Source organism: Homo sapiens, chromosome 5 (assembly GCF_000001405.40).
Source record: "Homo sapiens chromosome 5, GRCh38.p14 Primary Assembly".
Lineage (NCBI taxonomy): Eukaryota > Metazoa > Chordata > Mammalia > Primates > Hominidae > Homo > Homo sapiens.
In genome coordinates this window covers 35,074,529-35,097,045 of record NC_000005.10, presented here as the reverse complement: position 1 = coordinate 35,097,045, position 22,517 = coordinate 35,074,529, and the positions used below count along the sequence as shown (strand labels likewise).

Genomic DNA, 22,517 nt, shown 5'->3' with positions numbered 1-22,517 from the left:
CCAGCTTTAATTTAGAATCATCTAGAAAGGTTTTTTTTAAAATGCCCATGTCCTTCCAAGTGGGCTCAATTCTGAGCCAATTAGTGAGAATGTCCAGGGACAAAACAAAGAAATGAAAAATTTTAAGGCCGGGCACAGTGGCTCACGCCTGTAATCCCAGCACTTTGGGAGGTTGAGGTGGGCAGATCACTTGAGACCAGGAGTTCAAGACCAGCCTGGCCAACATGGTAAAGCCCGTCTCTACTGAAAATACAAAAATTAGCCAGGCGTGATGGTGCAGATCTGTAATCTCAGCTACTCTGGTGACTAAGGCAGGGGAATCACTTGAACCTGGGAGGCAGAGGCTGCAGTGAGCTGAAATCGTGTCACTGCACTCCTGCCTGGGTGTCAGAACAAGATTCTGTCTCAAAAAAAAAAAAAGAAAGTAAAGAAAAGAAATTTTAAGACACTCCTTGGACTGTAATGGGAATCCTGGATTAGAAACCACTGATGTCTATAGAACAGCTCTGTAAACTGCAAAACATAATGTATGATTTATGGGTGTTTTTTGATTGTTAGTAACTGATTGATGATCTCATGAGGGACTAGTTCCTCTGAAAATCAGGCCAACGTGGGTTTTCCACCATCTGTCCTACATGTGCACTGGCTGGGGGAAATTGAAACTCATCCAATTCCTATTCTTGCCTTTAAGCCAAAAAGACTGCTCGAAAACAAGCCTCCTTGGGATAAAAGATGTTGCTAGGATGAGGAAGCTGTAGTGAGTGAGTGGAGTTAATGTGATTAGATTTGGAAGCAATACTTCCAGCCATGGGGAAGCATCGGTGTTCTGTGTTATTAAAGTGACTCCAGTGCAAAGGCACATATATCGTATTGGAGTAATTTGCCCTGACTAGGTTAGAAGCCAGGAGATGGTTCTTCACAGGTATTCCTGAGTGGCCCAAGGTCTAAGTCAGCTCTCGTTTAGACAAATCCTATCTCTGCTGATCATCTACCTCTCACCAAATGCAGCCATCACCATGCACAGCACATGCGCTCCTCTTGATGATCTTCACAGAGTGCAGAGTCTTCAGGAAGTTCTTTCCTCAGTGGAACCTTTGGGATTTCTAGGAGAGGGGCAGGGGAATATCTGGAATCAGAGGTGAACACTTTACAGCAGCCTCTAAACTACTTCTAATTACGTTCACCTGACTAAACTGCCAGGTGATAAACGTTTTATATAAAAGTAATTCACTATGGAAAGTTCTGGATGTTTTCCCCAATGGGTACCTCAAAACAGGGTACAAGATGGAAACCTGCTCAAGAAACAGCAAAATGTAAACTGGATAATGGTGATGATAAAAAAATAATAATGAATGACCACACGAGCAAGTGTCCTCTTGTGAACTTTCACAGACAAATGCATAGATATGCTGCCTGGACTATGGGCAGATAAACATTCATTGTGGGCACATGTTTGTGTGAAGCTAATTATTGGCAGAGCAAGAACAGCTGGAACTTTCATCTCCCCACCTGCAGGCCAGGGTTCTCTTGGCACTATATCCTCAGTTTTCAATGTCTTCCTGAAAGAGCGGCTGCCATGTTCTCCTTAAAACTTCTTTAGATTCCCCTGTCAAATACTGAAAACTATGCTGGCTGTAAGTCTAGTGTTTGAAATACCAGCGTGGGACCAGTCTTCCTATATGCAGAGTTTTGTCCCATGTCTTAGAATCTTTTTCTGTTTTCTTCACCTTTTGGGCTTCATTTATTCACAATCATTGACTGTTGACATTGGGCAGAGCTTGTATAACAGTCTTAATCTTTAGCCTGGTATGTAATATCTAATCCCTGCTGTTCCTCTTCCCGCCCTGAGCACATTATGTCCTTTACTTTCCAGATTAAGTGTTGGCATTCTGTACTGGAAAGAAAACTCCAACTTCTTGCCATGTGCAGTGGCTCATGCCTGTAATCACAGACCTTTGGGAGGCCAAGGCGGGTAAATTTCCTGAGCTCAGGAGTTTGAGACCAGCCTGGGCAACATGGCAAAACCCCATCACTGCAGAATATACAAAAATTAGCTGGGTGTTGGTGGCTCGTGCCTCTAGTCCCCACTACTCAGGAGGCTGAGGTGGGAGAATCACCTGACCCAGGGAGGTCCAGGCTGCAGTGAGCGGTGATCATGCCACTGCACTCCAGCCTGGGCAACAGAACAAGACCCCGTCTCAAAAAAAAAAAAAAAAAAAAAGCCCAACTCCTGGAAATCAAATGGTACCTGATGTGAGGTTTTCTCCCTGTTATGTTAGCCTCAGGCCATCTAACCCAGGTAGAACAAGGCAGGTAAGGAAACCCAGTGGGCCAAGGACCCCGAAGGAAGCCCTTAACACAATGCCTAATACTGAAAACAACGGATGAATGTATTCAAAATTTGTTTGCAAGAAATGAGACTTTTTGCCTTTTTAGGACAAAAAAAGCACTTGAAATTTAATTTAGGTTAACAGGAGATATGGCGGGTAGCACAGAGTGATTATGAAATGCACAGGGCTTCCCTGCCATTCGAGTTTTGATCAATCTCAGCAAAACCCAAAGTTTGCCAAAACCTGGAAACAACTCAAATGTCCATCAACACAGTAGAATGAATAAATGAGTTATGGTATTTCATTCAATATAACATGAATGAAAATGAATGAGATGAAATGAAAATGAATTATGTAAAACTACATGTAACAACAAGGATGAATCCTACACCCATGTGAAATGAAAGAAGCCACACACACACACACTCAAGAAATGCATGTTGTATGATCCTATTTATATAAAGTTCAAAGGTAGGTAAAATTAATCTGTACTGTTAGAAGTGGGAAGAATGGTTTCTATCAGGAAGGAGTAGGTAGAGATTGGGAGGAGTTGCAAGTTGGATTTCTGGGGTGCTACTGGTGGTTAATCTCTTGACCTGAGTGGTAACATAGATATATTCTTTTTGTGATACTTCATTGAGCAGAATACAGTCATAAGTGTCGCTTCATGATAGGGCTAAGTTCTGAGAAATGTGTCAAGAGATTTCATTGTTGTACCAACATCATAGAGTATACTTATACAAACCTAGATTGTATAGCCTACTACACACCTAGGCTAGATGACATAGCCTATTGCTCCCAGGCTACAAACCTATACAGCTGTCACAGAACTGAATACTGTAGGCAATTGTTACAGAATGGTAAGTGTTTGTGTATCTAAATATATCTAAACATAGAAAAAGAACAGTAAACATACAGCATTATAATCTTATGGGACCACCATCATATATATGGTCCATCATTAACTGAAATGTCATTATGTGGCACATGACTGTACTTACAATTTGTGCATGTCATATGTATGATAGTCTAAAGTTCAAATGTTGGATTGGGCCTTGCTTGATTATCCAGGAACTGAGTTTGCAAGAGCTAAAAAGAACCTCAGAATCCCTGCCTAACAGGGATGGCAGGGTCCATTTCTGGACCCTAATGGTAGGTCCATTTCTGGAGTTAGGAAAACTGAGTCAAAAACCTGAGTAGAAGGTTGCAGCAACAGATACAGCAGGACAGGTTGGGGACTGTACTCAGGGGGATCACCAGATACCAGTCTTGGGAGCAAGTTCCACAGAATGGTAGGGCTGAGATTGCTGGCAGGCAGGATTGGCTTGGGGACTGCATAGGCCAGAACATAAAGGTGAAGTCTAAGAGAGGGTATTGCAGAGGATGAGGGGTTGACAGTGGGGAGTGGTATGTTGGGAGCTCAGATCTGGTTTATTTTTAACTCTCATGAGGCCACACTGCCTCCTCTCCTATGTTATTCCCTTCCTAATGTGGATAGTATGGTCAGCCCAGGCCATGGGAGTGTGGCCCCGATTTTCCATGTAGGGAGACTGGCTCTAGTTTCTCAAAAGCACAAGCTGCTGGACCTTTTTCTCAACTGTTGGCCTACGTGGAAGAGACTTGGCTTAATGGAAGGGAGAATGAAGAGAGGCTTTTGGAAAGAGAGGGCCTAAACAGGATCAGCATTGATGCCAAGCAACACAAGGGAGAAGGGACTTTTCTTGGCGTTCATACCACGGTGGGCCACAGTGTGGTGGGAAGGCATATTTGCATATGGTAAGGGGAGGAGCTTAAGGGTAAGAGAGTCTTTGAAGATTGGGAAGCAAGGAAACCAAGGCAGCTAGCCACAGGCAAGGTGTGGGGGCTGCAAACTTGCTATAAACCTGCTCTTCAGATCCACCACTTGCATTTTTAACCCTCAGTCAAAACCAAGGAGCTGCTGAGGAGTGATGCCTAAGATGATAGTCCCCAGGATGTGTGGGGCTGACTTTTTGCTAACTGAACTGCAAATATTTGGAGCCATTTGCTGCTATAACATCTTAAAAAGATGAGGCCCCTCATTGGATATTCCAGTCCCAATTGGGAGAGAATAAGAAGGGCCACGCCTGCCCTCGATCAAGATCTTGAGTGCAATGCAGGGTGGACTCAGAGAGACAAAAACCTAATTTATCCCCAGCTTAGTGTCTGCCAGCCATAAAAAGAAAAAAAAAGGTCGGTGGATAAACAAGAGATGTGCCTAGTGCTGAGAAGCATCTCCTTGTGTGTTCAGAGTTAATTAACATTTAGCATAGCCCCTTTAGGGGTGAGAAGTTGTGATTGTCTTTCTCTAAAGGTTAAATTACCTCCATTATGTTTGCCTTCCTGGGAAGAAAATGCAGGATGAGTTGGAAAATCACTGTTGAAACACAACCGTGACACCACTGTGAGTATGTCTAATTCCCTGGCATGGGGGTTTTAGGCATTAGAAAGTGCATAATAGTAACTAGATTCCAGGATGTGTCTCAGGAAATCCCAAAGGGAAGCTTTTTTTCATTCATAGAATACTTCCTGAAGACATTATTATAGGAAAACTTTATTTAGGAGAGTTTCTTTGATCCTGTACTAGCACATGAGAACATGTAAGCAGATGACAATATCTAATATCTACTGCTGCCTGACCCACTCTGCTTCCCATCCCAGAGTTTCTTTTGCAAAACGCATGGAGCCCTGCTTCGACAAAGCTCTCTAGATAGCACCCAACCTCACCAGGAAGGTCTGATTTATAGCATGTTGATCTTAAGCATGTTAGTGCAACGCCCAAAAGAGAAAGGAAGTCTCAATAAAGGGATATTATAGAAAGTCTTCAGCCAGTGGATAGACTCTCATCTCTAAGCCAGGCTGAGATCACCAGATCAGCAGGATAAAGAACTATTTGGGGCTATATGTACCTAATGAGGCTGGATTCATGAGATCAACAGTATTTAAGGTCCTTGGGCGTAAGTAGGGCAGTAGCTGAGAAGGCCTCTCTCGGCTCTGGCTCTCCTGCCCCTACTCAGAATGCCACACTCACCCAAGGCTTGATGTTGCTCACTGTGGGTCAGTGGCTGTTGTCTCCACCGTCTCTCCCACAGAGGGGGAATAATTGCACCCCCATCACAGACTTTCCACAAGTCAGGATGATCTCTCAGTGGCTCTCAGGTTTCCCAAGTATCTTTCCCCCATGGGCATTTGACTGACAATCTACTAAATCTCTGTACTTCCATTTGCTCATCTGTTAAAACCTGTAGCTGCTCACGGGGCTGTTGTGATGACAAAATGAAATTTACATGATTAAGGTACTTAACTTTCCCCAGTGCCTGCCCATAATAGATGCTCCAGAAGTGTTAGGCATTATTTTAAACCCAGTAGGAGTCTTTAACCACTTGATTTTAATTAGATGACCCTCAGGGGTGAGATGCAGTGGGTGATTTAGAAAGTGCACCCTGGGAGGGCATTTGCTTGGAAGGAATCTTGTAGGAGCAGGTAGAAGGTCCCCAAAAGAACAAAATACGGGTCACCTCACAGGATCCACCACTGGACCGGGATCCTTTACTGAAGCTGGAGCCTCATTATGAAAGAGCTACTTGGCCGGGCACGGTGGCTCACGCCTGTAATCCCAACACTTTGGGAGGCCGAGGCAGGTGGATCACGAGTTCAGGAGAGCGAGACCATCCTGGCTAACACGGTGAAACCCCGTCTCTACTAAAAATACAAAAAAAATTAGCCGGGCATCGTGGGGGGCTCCTGTAGTCCCAGCTACTCGGGAGGCCGAGGCAGGAGAATGGCGTGAATCCAGTAAGCGGAGCTTGCAGTGAGCCCAGATCGCGCCACTGCACTCCAGCCTGGGCGAAAGAGCGAGACTCTGTCTCAAAAAAAAAAAAAAAAAAAAAAAAAAAAAAAAAAAAAGAGCTAATTGATGGTACCTGGGTGCCCAAACCTCTACTGTTGCTATCGTTTCTCCATGTCTGAGTACGTCCCACAAGGAGCAGTAGCAAAAGCTGGTCTTTCAGGGGCTCATCAAACACACTCAGACGTTTCAAATGTCCCAAGATCGGCAGCTTTGATCCTGAATGTTCTTCCCTTGATTAAAACAACAACAACAACAACAACAACAAAATGAAACAATAAAAATTTAAAGAGAAATTTAGGCCGTGCATTTCTAAGAATTTACACTTAGTTCATTAAATCTATTGTTTTCTCAGTTGTTTGAAGTCCAACAAGACTAATGAGCCTTTTTTTCCAAATGTCTTTAAAAATCCTTTTTTCTTACAAGGCCATTTAGAGGCTTTGAACGTTGTTCCAAGGGTAATAATATTAGTATTAATAATAAATTATTCCAAACTCCCAACCCCTGCAGGTTCAGAATTTACTTAATACTCTGAACCCAAGGAATTTAAATTATTACCAGAATTTATTACCTTTTGTTTATGGGGCTTTCCAAACAGGAGAAAGAAACCACGTGGAGGTTCACTAGAGTGCATTGTGTGGTTCGCTTTGCGGTAATGCATATAACCCAGAAGACTTCCAGAACCTTCTCAGCTTGAACCTTCAAAGCCTCCCTAATTTGGTGGAATCAGCATGGTTATGTTGAGATTGTACTGAGGGTACTGACTTTTCAGCCTGGACAATTTTTGGCTGATGGACCAGAGCAAGAGCCCTCGTAGGATTCTCCCATAGGACATACAATCTATGTTACATAAGATGGATGATATATTGTTAGGTGGCTATGGGGTGGAAAGAGAACAATTTTTCTCTGGGGTGTGTGCAAAGGAACTGACTGCCTTGCTGCCCCTTGAACTCTCTACCTTGTCATCTGAGGACCTCTGGTGGTGGAAATTTTCCCAGCGTGTGTGAATTGATGTTTCTGTGCCAAGCCATCCAACCCTGTTACATTTTCCTACATTCCTTTCCTCCTATTTTGTCATTCACATTAAGCAAGGAGCAACAATCAGTTGCAAATACCCAGAATAAAGTGGTGGATGTGCCTGACCAGACTGCCATTTCACAAAAGTTACCTGCTACCTTCTCTTCCAGTGAACTTCTGATACATTTCCTGCAGCAAGAGAAGGCAGCCAACATGAAGGAAAATGTGGCATCTGCAACCGTTTTCACTCTGCTACTTTTTCTCAACACCTGCCTTCTGAATGGTAAGTAAGAGGCTATCACGCTCTCTTTCATTGCCTGGGGTGTTTGTCAACAGGGTGGAGAGTCCATGCAGTCTTCTTGCAATGCCATTATGAAAAATGAAAATGCTGTGTTATGTGCTGCTGTTAAATTATTTGCAATATTTTGCATTAAAGTTAATGCAGAAAAATTAATGCAATTAATGCAAAATCTTGTCACTGTGCTCTCTGCCTTTTGTCCTCATTTCAGGAGTGTAATGAAACAGCTCTGAAGAAGACAGGACCTGAGTTCTAATCCAGGTCCTGCCAGTTTCTAGCTGTGTGACCTAGAGCCAATTACCTAACTCTCTGGGTTTCCAAATTCTCAAAGTGAGGACAGTGATGTTTCCTCTACTGCAGATGAAATAATGTATATGAAAACTCTTTAAAAAACCATAATGGGATATAAGAGGTTGCTGTTACATGGCGGGAAGCAGGTACAGCCGACTCTATTATCTGTGCTAACAGGAGAAATGAAGTCCACAGCTAAATGAGAGGGTGGGTGCCTGTGACTATACACTTCTGTATGTCAACCCATGTGCATTTCTGGGTGTGCAGACTTCTATATGTACCTGTGTATATATTAACTTTTCTATATGGACCTGATTTCAAATGTCTCTCTGTCTGAACCTGTATGTATATACTTTTATGTATGTCTGTGTGTGTTCTGTGTATATCCGTATGTGCACACTTCTCTGCAGGTACCTGTGTGCATACAAGTATGTACTTCCATGAGTATGCACCTGTGTATATTTTTGTGTGTGTGTGTGGTGTGTGTACTTTTGATGCGGGCTCTGTGTGGGCATCTACATACCTGTATATGTGGTTCCTGTGTGGTTTTCTCCGTGTTTCTGTGCATTGAGAAAGTCCATTAATGTTAACTTGTTCCTCTAATGCAGATGAAGGAAACATTTGTCTAATTGTAATTTTACAAATCTACCCTCCTCTCTTGAGCTTCCTGAAGGTACTATTAATAAACAGTAAAATAAGAAAGAGAAGCTTTCAGAGAGAGAAAAAGGGGAAAGCAGAGGTCAGAATGACCCACAAGAGAAACTAAATACTCAAGAAATCAATGATCACCCTAATTGGCTTCCGAGTGTGCTCATTATGGAACCATAGGCTTTAAACTTTTTAAATAAACTTTTCTTTCTACTTCACACACTTCTCCCCACTCATGACAAAAGCAAAGCAAAACAAAAACTTGCATTCTTGCTGTAACTCCCAGCAACACATTATCCTGAATAAATTGTTCCTAGAGGATGAGCAATGTTACAAATATTGGCAGAGCTGACCCGGGCTGGCAAGGACGGGTTTTAGCAGGGCCTGTGAGCAGGAGGGTAGGTGAGTTTCAGCTGACACTACTAGCCTGGTGTCCTGGGCTCCAGCCTGTGTCCCACAGCATGCCATTCCACTAAATTCCTCTTTCTGGCCAGCTCTGCCTAGAGAATCCTCTTCCCACGCATTTCTCCTCACTGAGGTCTCCTCCTAACCTGCTGTTTCTGCTCTGGTGCTCAGCTAGAAACTCTGGCCTTGGAGCCTGCATGAGGGGTAGAGGAGAAAACAGAGAGAACCCCCGGAGGTGCTGACCCATATCTGAAAGCGCTCCTCTCTGCTCCTGATATCCTAAACTCAATGCTAGGGCATCCAGCTAGACAAAAAAGAGGATCAGCTGAAGTCATGTAGGCGAGCATGGTGGCTTCCCAGCCCCACAGTATCAGGGCAAATTCCCAGGGCTCTGCTGTCCCTCTTTGAACCTGACATCCAAGCAAGAGAAATGGGAGCCCGCTTGCCAAGAGCTTTGGGGATTTGGCAACTAAAAAATTTTACACTCTTGGTGTTATATTTTCACACCACCTCACTGAGACCTTCTAGCATCCAGTCTGGAACTGGGTACAGCTCTTAGATAACAGTGGTTGCTCAGAACCAGGAGAGGAGCTGGCTACTCTCCTACCTCTTACCACACCTCCTACCCCAAAAAGATCCATCAAATTATAGTTTTATAGACCCTATGGGATTACAAAAGGGCCACACACTCTTGAAGCCCTACGTATCCAAAGGAAGCCCTTTGCAACCTCACCACACACACACACACACACACACACACACACACACAAAGGAAAGAGAGGAAAATCTAAGAGAAAAAAAAGGACTAAAAACCAAGATTCAGAAATGGGGATGGGGTGGATGAGGAGACAGACTGTGAGTCTGGGTCACAAGATCAAAGCTGAATAAAATCAAGGAAAAGTGGCCAGGTGCAGTAGCTCATGCCTTTAATCCCAGCAGTTTGGGAGGCCAAGGTGGGCAGAGCACGAGGTCAGGAGTTCAAGACCAGCCTGACCAACATGGTGAAACCCCATTTCTACTAAAAATACAAAAACTTAGCCGGGTGTGGTGGTGTGCACCTGTAATCCCAGCTGCTCAGGAGGCTGAGGCAGAATTGCTTGAACCCAGGAGGTGGAGGTTGCAGTGAGCCAAGATCGCACCACTGCACTCCAGCCTGGGCGATAGAGTGAGACTCCATCCCAAAAAAAATCAAGAAAAAGTGAAGGGAAAGGGGAAGGAAAGGAGAAGATGGGGAAAGAGGAAGGAAAGGATGCCCAGATACAGGGAGCTTTAGCGATGTAGTGAACGGACAGAAGATCAGGAACAAGTTGAGTTCATTGTGTGGGGATGGCAGAAAGATGGAGATTGGTGAGCTGAGTGGAGAAGTGCCATAGAGCGGTGTTTTGCCAGAGTGTCTGCGGATTGCTCATACCTGGGAAGGATTCTTTGTATGGTTCCCTTAGGCTGAGGGAGGGTATCAGCTTTACAGACCTTGTGGGATTACAAAAGGGCCACCACACACTCTTCAACCAATATGTGTCTATCTTGCATTCAAGGCTCATTCTTTGTTGAAATTTTGCAGTTGGTCACTAGGCTATTGTTATCTCCATCTCAAAGTACACAGACACACACACACACACACACACACACACCAGCAAAATGCTCTCTAAGAGCAATGCCAACATCAGGGCAGCCCACAGAGGAGTGTTGCTGGATGCTGATGCTTGGCATTCCTGAGCATCCACCCTAGGTCTCCTCAGCCTGAGACTTCATCGCTGGCTTTGGTCCATCAATCTGTTTCTGTCACCAGCAGAAGGGTCAAATGGTTAAATGGACCTCAATATTGATGCAGTGGCTTCTGGCTTTTTCTAGGACAGTTACCTCCTGGAAAACCTGAGATCTTTAAATGTCGTTCTCCCAATAAGGAAACATTCACCTGCTGGTGGAGGCCTGGGACAGATGGAGGACTTCCTACCAATTATTCACTGACTTACCACAGGGAAGGGTAAGAAGTTCCCTTCTCTCCTATGAAACCCCACATGAGTACTCCCATTCTCCAGGCCAAAGAAACACTGGTTCTGAGTGACAGCACATCCCTGAATTTACACCAGTAAGGTTCATACCACCGGGGAAAGGGGAGTCTAAGGTCCATGCCCACATTCTCCTGTTAATGTCTGTTAAGAGCTGTGTCAATATACATAAGGTTACCAGCCATAGCAGTACAATATCAGTGTTACTGGATGCTGATGCTTGGCATTTCTGAGCATCCACCCTAGGTCTCCTCACCCTGAGACTTCATCACTTGCTTGGGTCCCATCAATCTGTTTCTGTCACCAGCAGAAGGGTCAAATGGTTAAATGGACCCAATATTGATGTAATGTTTCAAATCCCCTCTCACAGCTTAGGTTGCAGCCTGAGGCCCCATAGAAGTGTTTCTTAATTGCTAGTTAATCTTAAATGCTCATCTATAATTCTTATGCCATTTGTATTTTTTTTAACTAAACATGTCACTTTTGCAAAATAAGTAGGATCGTGTGAAGTGGTACCATACAATCCTTGACAAATGTGGTATATTAGGTTTTCAAACTTGTTTCATGTTCAAGAAAATAAAGAACCTTGTAGGGAAAAGAAGGTGAGGTTTTTTCCTTAGCACATTGCTCATCCAAGAGCCACCATCTCCTAGAAGACATATTGGGACCTAAGGTTGAAATGAGGGCTAAACCAGATCATCTCTGTGCAAGCATTTTGTTACGCTGACAGTGAGACCCTCCTGAAAATCATGGGAGAGCTGCATTCTTCTTCAGAAAGGAAAATATTTAGTTGCTGGTAGAGACAGCTGGCCCACTTTCCAATGACTGCACTTTGTTGTACACAAAACTGTCATCCCGGCTGAAATCCAAAGGGACATCATGTAAACAGATTTCAGGAACTCAGATGCAACCAGAATTGAACAAGCCTCCACCCCTGTGCAGTGTATCTTGAGCTGAGGTTCCTGAGTCTAAATGTGAGCAGCCTACTGAGCCACGTGGGCTTGAAATACCTCCTCTCAACGTCACTTCACTTTATTGCTGACTTGGTGCAGTCTGAAATGGACCAACATCAGTTTTTGTCCTCTTGAACCCTTTTTTAAAAAACGAAAAGTAATTCAACACGTATGTGAAATAGCTGCTGCATTGTGCATGACCCCTCTGTGTGTGGACAGGTGAAAGTTCCAATTTCCTGAGGCAACCCAATGGGCATGACCTGGGTATGGTGGTGCCTGGGCCATTGAAAGCTCGAGTGTTTATCAGCAGGGAATATAGGTCCCCGAGCCCACAAGAACACTTATAGAAAGGAAGGGTTGATGGAAGAAGAATACTTGAGGCCCTAAAATAACCTTTCCAACATGCTCTTCCCTCTCTCACTCCCAGCTGAAATGGGCAGAACATGGAAGCCTAAGGAACCATTTGTCAGCTCTGGGTTTTGCGCTTGGAATTTCTGATACCCAAAGGCCAGTGGTATTGATCTATGAAGAAAAAAACTAGACTCTCTTTATTACTTTCTTATTCATTCCTAATACATTACTTATTGCAGAGAGACACTCATGCATGAATGTCCAGACTACATAACCGGTGGCCCCAACTCCTGCCACTTTGGCAAGCAGTACACCTCCATGTGGAGGACATACATCATGATGGTCAATGCCACTAACCAGATGGGAAGCAGTTTCTCGGATGAACTTTATGTGGACGTGACTTACATAGGTAAGGGGAAGGAAAGTGGGTGAGGAATTTCTTACTCCACTATGTATTAGCCAATAGTCACACTCAGTTTGAGTCTTCTTGGGTTTTGGATGGATCCCCAAAAAGAAAGATGAGAAAACTCACGATATGCTTGTCAACAGAACAGTTCAAATCATTTTTTATCAAGTCATTCATGACACTAAGGCTGGCACTTGGGATCCTTGTGTTCCTGTGCTTTCCCTTGACCCTCATCCTCTTGCACTCAGCACAAATGTTCTATGTATGTTTCCCTTGCCAACTCTTCTTTCTTGCCCTGCCCTTGCAATTGATGTCCGCTTCTTCCTTGGCAAGCTGGGATTTCTTTTATTTCTCCTCATGGAAGACAGAGCTGCTCCATGAAGAAGAAGTTCTTAGAAGGGTTCATCTGATTCTGCACCCACAGCAATTGCTCCCATTGCTTTGCCCCAAACTCATATATGTGTGTGTGTACATATATATGTTGCATATATGCGATATATATATTAGTGTGTGTGTATATATATATATACATCATTGGTAATTTTTTTTACTAAACATTTACAAAGTAATCATGTTACTTTTATAACATAAGATAATATGAGGTGGTGCCATGTAATTCTTGACAAACATGGTGTTCAAGAAAATAAAGAATGTAGGCTGGGCGCGGTGCCTCACGCCTGTAATGCCAGTACTTTGGGAGGCTAAGACAGGCAGATCATAAGATCAAGAGTTCAAGACCAGCCTGACCAACATGGTGAAACCCCATCTCTACTAAAAATACAAAAATTAGCCGGCTGTGGTGGTGCGTGCCTGTAATCCCAGCTACTCAGGAGGCTGAGGCAAGAGAATTGCTTGAACCCAGGAGGTGGAGGTTGCAGTGAGCCAAGATCATGCCACTGCACTCCAGCCTGGGCCACAGAGCGAGACTCCACATCAAAAAAAAAAAAAGAAAAGAAAAGAAAGAATTTAAATGTTAAAAACTACCAATGGTCTGTGCACACACACACACACACACACACACACAGAGAGAGAGGAAGAGAGAGAGAGAGAGATTTATCACCTCTGCATCTACTGGTGCTGCCAAGGTTGCAGGAAGGTCATCTCCAAGCTGAACGGGAAGCTCTCTGGCATGGCCTTCCATGTCCCCACCACAGATGTGTCGGTCATGGACCTGACCTGCTTTTTAGAAAAACTTGCCAAATATGATGACATCAAGAGGGTGGTGAAGCAGGGACAATGTTCTGGAGAGCCCCATGGTTGTTGTACCTCAGTTGCGCTGAGGGGCCATTCACAGTCTTCTTTATGGAGTGCTGGCATGGACTGTGGACATGAGTCCTTCCATGATGAATGACAAATTTTATATAAGTGTGGTGTGTGTGTGTGTGTGTGTGTGTGTGTGTGTGTATTGCCTTACCCTCAAGCATTATAATATTTGAAGGCAAAACAATGAAAGCAAGAAATGTTCTGAAATTAGCAACTGTTTTAATAAATGCGACCCACAAAAAAAGGGACTCACTAAAGAAAAGTAATATGTTTAAAAAGAGAAATCAACAAGTGTATATGAAATTCTCATTGATCCTGGAAAACAAATTCTCTGGTGAAAGAATATGTTGGACCATATTTTTCAAAATAATAAAAGAAGTGTCCACAGAACTCTCCTATAACCCTGCAGCCTACAGTGTTGGGACAGGCCACGGAAGTTCATTTTAAAATGCACGGTACATTTTCTGACACTTCGACTCTCATCCAGCAATAACCTGCAGTACAGAATGACAACATTGAAAGATAATTGCTCAGGAGTAGAGTTCTTTGTTGTTGAGTAATATTTAGTTACATTGAAAACACTTAAAAGCAGTGGTTCTCAACTGGGAGCTGTTTTTTCTTCCCACAGGATATTTGGCAATGACTGGAGACATTTTTGATTGTCACAAGCTAGGAAAGTGGGGAGATGGGGGTATTACTTGTATGTGGTGCATAAAGCCCAGAGATCCTGCTAAGCATTCTACAAAGCATAGGACATCCCCCTCCAACAAAGAAATATCCAGTCCAAAATGCAAGTAGTGCTGAGGTTGGGAAAGTATGCTCTAAAAGATACATCCTCAACATTTTATTTGCGTTTTTGTATAATTTTTTATCAGAAGCATTGTTTAGTATGTATTTAACTTAAAACATATATTAATTAGCTGCTGTTTGTTTAGGAAATGTGCTCAAAATAATCTTTCTTAGGTATTTACTCAGTAACATATTAGCTTAGACTTGATGGCAATTTTCTTTTTTTAGTACAGGGGACTTTATTGATGGCACATGGCAAAGTGGGTCTCCCTAAGCACCTGCTCTTCAGGGAGTCTGCATAAAAATTGTGAGGGGAGATTCTCACTGAGGTGGAGCACTGAGTGCCACAGGGACTCGCCAGCAGCTGAGGGTCTCACTCTTGCTCTTGTGTGCTCACTGGGGGTGGTGGTCCAGGGGTCTTACTACATGGAGGCCATGTGGACCATGAGTCCACCACCCTGTTGCTGCAGCCTAATTCACTGTCATACCAGGAAATGGGCTTGACAAAGTGGTTGTTGAGGGCGATGCCAGCCCCAAAAGTAGAAGAGGGGGTGTCACTGTTAAAGTCAGAGGAGACAGCCTGGTGCTTAGTGTAGCCCAGGAGGGGTGTGTGTGTGTGTGTGTGTGTGTGTGTGTGTGTGTTTGTGTATTGCCTTACCCTCAAGCATTATAATATTTGAAGGTAAAACAATGAAAGCAAGAAATGTTCTGAAATTAGTAACTGTTTTAATAAATGTGATCCACAAAAAAGGGGATCACTATAGAAAAGTAGTATGTTTAAAAAGAGAAATCAAGTGTATATGAGATTCTCATTGATTCTGGAAAACAAATTCTCTGGTGAAAGACTATGTTGGACCATATTTTTCAAAATCATAAAAGAAGTGCCCACGGAACTCTCGTATAACCCTGCAGCCTATGAAGGGGCCCTCCGATGCCTGCTTCACCACCTTTTTGATGTCATATTTGGCAGGTTTATCCAGATGGCAGGTCAGGTCACCACTGACACGATGGTGGGGACATGGAAGGCCATGCCATTGAGCTTCCCATTCAGCTCAGAGATGACCTTGCCCTCAGCCTTGGCAGCACCAACAGATGCACAGATCATGTTCTGGAAAGCCCCACGGCTGTTGCACCACAGTTTCCCAGAGGGGCCATTAACAGTCTTGGTGGAGTGATGGCATAGACTGTGAACATGAGTCCTTTTGCAATTGATGGCAAATTTTTTTTATTATTATACTTTAAGTTCTAGGGTACATGTGCACAACGTGCAGGTTTGTTACATATGTATACATGTGCCATGTTGGTGTGCTGCAACCATTAACTCATCATTTACATTAGGTATATCTCCTAATGCTATCCCTCCCCCCTCCCCCCACCCCATGACAGGCCCCTGTGTGTGATGTTACCCACCCTGTGTTCAAGTGTTCTCATTGTTCAATTCCCACCTGTGAGTGAGAACATGCGGTGTTTGGTTTTCTGTCTTTGCGATAGTTTTGCTGAGAATGATGGATTCCAGCTTCATCCATGTCCCTACGAAGACATGAACTCATCCATTTTTATGGCTGCATAGTATTCCATGGTGTATAAGTGCCACATTTTCTTAATCCAGTCCATCATTGATGGACATTTGGGTTGGTTCCAAGTCTTGCTATTGTGAATAGTGCCGCAATAAACATATGTGTGCATGTGTCTTTATGGCAGCATTATTTATAATCCCTTGGGTATATACGCAGTAATGGGATGGCTGGGTCAAACGGTATTTCTAGTTCTAGATCCTTGAGGAATCGCCACACTGACTTCCACAATGGTTGAACTAGTTTACAGTCCCACCAACAGTGTAAAAGTGTTCCTATTTCTCCACATCCTCTCCGGCACCTGTTGTTTCCTGACTTTTTAATGATCACCATTCTAACTGGTGTGAGATGATATCTCATTGTGGTTTTGATTTTGCATTTCTCTGATGGCCAGTGACGATGAGCATTTTTTCACGTGTCTGTTGGCTGCATAAATGTCTTCTTTTGAGAAGTGTCTGTTCATATCCTTCACCAACTTTTTGATGGGGTTGTTTGATTTTTTTCTTGTAAACGTGTTTAAGTTCTTTGTAGATTCTGAATATTAGCCCTTTGTCAGATGGGTAGATTGTAAAAATTTTCTCCCATTCTGTAGGTTGCCTGTTCACTCTGATGGTAGTTTATTTTACTGTGCAGAAGCTCTTTAGTTTAATTAGATCCCATTTGTCAATTTTGGCTTTTGTTGCCATTGCTTTTGGTGTTTTAGTCATGAAGTCCTTGCCCATGCCTATGTCCTGAATGGTATTGCCTAGGTTTTCTTCTAGATTTTTTTATGGTTTTAGGTCTAACATTTAAGTCTTAAATCCATCTTGAATTAATTTTTGTATAAGGTGTAAGGAAGGTATCCAGTTTCAGCTTTCTACATATGGCTAGCCAGTTTTCCCAGCACCATTTATTAAATAGGGAATCCTTTCCCCATTTCTTGTTTTTGTCAGGTTTGTCAAAGATCAGATGGTTATAGATGTGTGGTATTATTTCTGAGGGCTCTGTTCTGTTCCATTGGTCTGTATCTCTGTTTTGGTACCAGTACCATGCTGTTTTGGTTACTGTAGCCTTGTAGTATAGTTTGAAGTCAGGTAGTGTGACGCCTCCAGCTTTGTTCTTTTGGCTTAAGATTGTTTTGGCAATACGGGCTCTTTTTTGGTCCCACATGAACTTTAGTTTTTTCCAATTCTGTGAAGAAAGTCATTGGTAGCTTGAATCTGTAAATTACCTTGGGCAGTATGGCCATTTTCATGATACTGATTCTTCCTATCCATGAGCATGGAATGTTCTTCCATTTCTGTGTATCCTCTTTTATTTCATTGAGCAATGGTTTGTAGTTCTCCTTGAAGAGGTCCTTCACATCCCTTGTAAGTTGGGTTCCTAGGTATTTTATTCTCTTTGAAGCAATTGTGAATGGGAGTTCACTCATGATTTGGCTCTCTGTTTGTCTGTTATTGGTGTATAGGAATGCTTGTGACTTTTGCACATTGATTTTGTATCCAGAGACTTGCTGAAGTTGCTTATCAGCTTAAGGAGATTTTGGGCTGAGATGATGGGGTTTTCTAAACGTACAATCATGTCATCTGCAAACAGGGACAATTTGACTTCCTCTTTTCCTAATTGAATACCCTTTATTTCTTTCTCCTGCCTGATTGCCCTGGCCAGAACTTCCAACACTATGTTGAATAGGAGCGGTGAGAGATGGCATCCCTGTCTTGTGACAGTTTTCAAAGGGAATGCTTCCTGTTTTTGCCCATTCAGTATGATATTGGCTGTGGGTTTGTCATAAATAGCTCTTATTATTTTGAGATACATCCCATCAATACCTAGTTTATTGAGAGTTTTTAGCATGAAGGCTGTTGAATTTTGTCAAAGGCCTTTTCTGCATCTATTGAGATAATCATGTGGTTTTTGTCTTTGGTTCTGTTTCTATGATGGATTACATTTATTGATTTGCATATGTTGAACCAGCCTTGCATCCCAGGGATGAAGCCTACTTGATCATGGTGGATAAGCTTTTTGATTTGCTGCTGGATTCGGTTTGCCAGTATTTTACTGAGGATTCTTGCATCAATGTTCATCAGGGATATTGGTCTAAAGTTCTCTTTTTTGGTTGTGTCTCTGCCAGGCTTTGGTATCAGGATGATGCTGGCCTCACGAAATGAGTTAGGGAGGATTCCCTCTTTTTCTATTGATTGGAATAGTTTCAGAAGGAATGGTACCAGCTCCTCTTTGTACGTCTGGTAGAATTCGGCTGTGAATCCGTCTGGTCCTGGACTTTTTTTTTTTGGTTGGTAGGCTATTAATTATTGCCTCAATTTCAGAGCCTGTTATTGGTCTATTCAGAGATTCAACTTCTTCCTGGTTTAGTCTTGGGAGGGTGTACGCGTCCAGGAATTTATCCATTTCTTCTAGATTTTCTAGTTTATTTGCATAGAGGTGTTTATAGTATTCTCTGATGGTAGTTTCTATTTCTGTGGGATTGGTGGTGATATCCCCTTTATCATTTTTTATTGCATGTATTTCATTTTTCTTTCTTTTCTTCTTTATTAGTCTTGCTAGTGGTCTATTAATTTTGTTGATCTTTTCAAAAAACCGCTCCTGGATTCACTGATTTTTTTGAAGGTTTTTTGTGTCTCTATCACCTTCAGTTCTTCTCTGATCTTAGTTATTTCTTGCCTTCTGCTAGCTTTTGAATGTGTTTGCTCTTGCTTCTCTAGTTCTTCTAATTGTGATGTTAGGGTGTCGATTTTAGATCTTCCCTGCTTTCTCTTGTGGGCATTTAGTGCTATAAATTTCCCTCTACACACTGCTTTAAATGTGTCCCAGAGATTCTGGTATGTTGTGTCTTTGTTCTCATTGGTTTCAAAGAACATCTTTCTTTCTGCCTTCATTTCATTATGTACCCAGTAGTGATTCAGGAGCAGGTTGTTCAGTTTCCATGTAGTTGAGCAGTTTTGAGTGAGTTTCTTAATCCTGAGTTGTAGTTTGATTGCACTGTGGTCTGAGAGATAGTTTGTTATAATTTCTGTCCTTTTACATTTGCTGAGGAGTGCTTTCCTTCCAACTATGTGGTCTGCTTTGGAATACATGTGATGTGGTGCTGGGAAGAATGTATATTCTGTTGATTTAGGGTGGAGAGTTCTGTAGATGTCTATTAGGTCCGCTTGGTGCAGAGCTGAGTTCAAGTCCTGGATATCCTTGTTAACTTTCTGTGTCGTCGATCTGTCTAATGTTGACAGTGGGGTGTTAAAGTCTCCCATTATTATTGTGTGGGAGTCTAAGTCTCTTTGTAGGTCTCTAAGGACTTGCTTTATGAATCTGGGTGCTCCTGTATTGGGTGCAAACATATTTAGGATAGTTAGCACTTCCTGTTGAATTGATCCCTTTACCATTATGTAATGGCCTTCTTTGTCTCTTTTGATCTTTGTTGGTTTCAAGTCTGTTTCCTCAGAGAGTAGGATTGCAACCCCTGCTTTTTTGTTTTGTTTTGTTTTCCATTTGCTTGGTAGATCTTCCTCCATTCCTTTATTTTGAGCCTATGTGTGTCTCTGCATGGGAAATGGGTCTCCTGAATACAGCACACTGATGGGTCTTAACTCTTTATCCAATTTGCCAGTCTGTGTCTTTTAATTGGAGCATTTAGCCCATTTACATTTAAGATTAATGTTGTTTTGTGTGAATTTGATCCTGTCATTATGATATTAGCTGGTTATTTTGCTCATTAGTTGATGCAGTTTCTTCCTAGCATTGATGGTCTTTGCAATTTGGCATGTTTTTGCAGTGGCTGGTACCGGTTGTTCCTTTCCATGTTTAGTGCTTCCTTCAGGAGCTCTTGTAAGGCAGGCCTGGTAGTGACAAAATCTCTCAGCATTTGCTTGTCTGTAAAGTATTTTATTTCTCCTTCACTTATGAAGCTTAGTTTGGCTGGATATGAAATTCTGGGTTGAAAATTCTTTTCTTTGAGAATGTTGAATATTGGCCCCCACTCTCTTCTGGGTTTTAGAGTTTCTGCCAAGAGATCCACTGTTAGTCTGATGGGCTTCCCTTTGTGGGTAGCCTGACCTTTCTCTCTGGCTGCCCTTAATGTTTTTTCCTTTATTTTAACTTTGGTGAATCTGACAATTACGTGTCTTGGAGTTGCTCTTCTCGAGGAGTACCTTTGTGGCATTCTCTGTATTTCCTGAATTTGAATGTTGGCTTGCCTTTCTAGGTTGGAGAAGTACTCCTGGATAATATCCTGCAGAGTGTTTTCCAACTTGGTTCCATTCTCCCTGTCACTTTCAGGTACACCAATCAGATGTCGATTTGGTCTTTTCACATAGTCCCGTATATCTTGGAGGCCTTGTTCATTTCTTTTTACTCTTTTTTCTCTAAACTTCTCTTCTCACTTCATTTCATTCATTTTATCTTCAATCACTGATACCCTTTCTTCCACTTGAACAAATCGGCTACTGATGCTTGTGCATGCATCACATAGTTCTCGTGCCATGGTTTTCAGCTTTATCAGGTCATTTAAGGTCTTCTCTATGCTGTTTATTCTAGTTAGCCATTTGTCTAATCTTTTTTGAGGTTTTTAGCTTCTTTGTGATGGGTTCAAACATCCTCCTTTAGCTCAGAGAAGTTTGTTATTACCAATCGTCTGAAGCCTTCTTCTCTCAGCTCGTCAAAGTCATTCTCCGTCCAGCTTTGTTTCGTTGCTGGCGAGGAACTGCATTCCTTTGGAGGAGAAGAGGTGCTCTGATTTTTAAAATGTTCAGCTTTTCTGCTCTGGTTTCTCCCCATCTTTGTGGTTTTATCTACCTTTGGTCTTTGATGATGGTGACGTACAGATGGGGTTTTAGTGTGGATGTCCTTTCTGTTAGTTAGTTTTCCTTCTAACAGTCAGGACCCTCAGCTGCAGGTCTGTTGGAGTTTGTTGGAGGTCCACTCCAGACCCTGTTTGCCTGGGTATCACCAGCAGAGGCTGCAGAACAGCAAATATTGCAGAACAGCAAATGTTGCTGCCTGATCCTTCCTCTGGAAGCTTCATCTCAGAGGGGCACCTGGGTGTATGAGGTGTCAGTCGGCCCCTACTGGGAAGTGTCTCCTAGTTAGGCTACTCGGGGGTCAGGGACCCACTTGAGGAGGCAGTCTGTCCGTTCTCAGATCTCAAACTCTGTGCTGGGAGAACCACTACTCTCTTCAGAGCTATCAGACAGGGACGTTTAAGTCTGCAGAAGTTTCTGCTACCTTTTGTTCAGCTATTCTCTGGCCCCAGAGGTGGAGTCCACAGAGGCAGGCCGGCCTCCTTGAGCTGGGGTGGGCTCCACCCAGTTCCAGCTTCCTGGCCACTTTGTTTACAATCTCAAGCCTCAGGAATGGCAGACACCCCTCCCCCAGCCTCACTGCCACCTTGCAGTTTGATCTCAGACTGCTGTGCTAGCAGTGAGCAAGGCTCCATGGGCTTGGGACCCTCTGAGCCAGGAATGGGATATAATCTCCTGGTATGCCATTTGCTAAGACTGTTGGAAAAGCGCAGTATTACAGTGGTAGTGTCCCAATTTTCCAGGTACCATCTGTCATGGCTTCCCTTGGCTAGTAAAGGGAATTCCCTGACCCCTTGCACTTCCCGGGTGAGACAATGACCTGCCCTGCTTCGCCTCACGCTCCATGGACTGCACCCACTGTCCAACAAGCCCCAGTGAGATGAACCTGGTACCTCAGTTGGAAATGCAGAAATCACCCGTCTTCTGTGTTGCTCACGCTGGGAGCTGTAGACTGGAGCTGTTCCTATTCAGCCATCTTGGAACCAGACCACGGATGGCAAATTTTTAAAAGTTGGTTTTTAGGCAAATGTAACTCATAATGCCAAGTACACTATAGTTACAGTCACTCTTTCCCCATCTGGTACAGAGATTGATTTAAGGAGGTGATAAATGAATGGAGAAAATGTCACTGAACAGCAGAACTGAGACTGGGATGAGGCAAGCCAGCACCCCAGCACCTAAGTCTTAGGAAGGTACTCACAAGGCCTGTACCTACAGGAGCCTACAGAAGTAAATGCCTCCTTCATTTTTTTTTTAATTCTTGCCAGCAGGAAGCCACTTCATTTGTTTTTATTGTGGCAAAAACACAAAACACATATCCACCATTTCAACTATTTTATAGTATGCAATTGAATGCATTAGTTTATTACAATTTTATGCAACCATCACCACTATCTAGTTCTGTAACACGTTTACCTCCCTCAATGAAAACTTCACATCCACTACTAAGCAGTTACTTCTCATTTCTCCCTTCCTCAAGCCCTGGCAATGACTGTCTGTTTCTGGGAGTTTGCCTCGTCTGGATATT

The 22,517-nt window shown here is 43.0% G+C and overlaps 1 protein-coding gene across 13 annotated transcripts in view, besides 1 other annotated feature; it reads left to right on the top strand.

Moving 5' to 3' along the window:
• The window catches only part of PRLR (prolactin receptor), a 181,732-nt gene that overhangs the window by 133,442 nt on the left and 25,773 nt on the right, over nt 1-22,517 (top strand). For 10 of the 13 annotated variants that reach the window (NM_001204318.1, NM_001204317.1, NM_001204316.1 and 7 more), the window contains 3 exons: nt 7,383-7,495; nt 10,706-10,838; nt 12,407-12,576. In NM_001204318.1, the coding sequence (NP_001191247.1) occupies nt 7,426-7,495; nt 10,706-10,838; nt 12,407-12,576 (373 nt within the window). In that variant the 5' untranslated portion in view covers nt 7,383-7,425. Of the gene's footprint in view, nt 1-7,382; nt 7,496-10,705; nt 10,839-12,406; nt 12,577-22,517 lie in introns of those variants that run through there. The other 3 variants (NR_037910.1, XM_047417391.1, NM_001204314.2) reach the window with 3 other exon arrangements.
• Nucleotides 7,073-7,574: an enhancer, noted in NCBI's record as "NANOG hESC enhancer chr5:35089574-35090075 (GRCh37/hg19 assembly coordinates)". NCBI's record gives its function as "activates a minimal SCP1, AML or CMV promoter by ChIP-STARR-seq in naive H9 embryonic stem cells {active_cell/tissue: H9 hESC(naive)}" and the evidence as "EXISTENCE:reporter gene assay evidence [ECO:0000049][PMID:30033119]".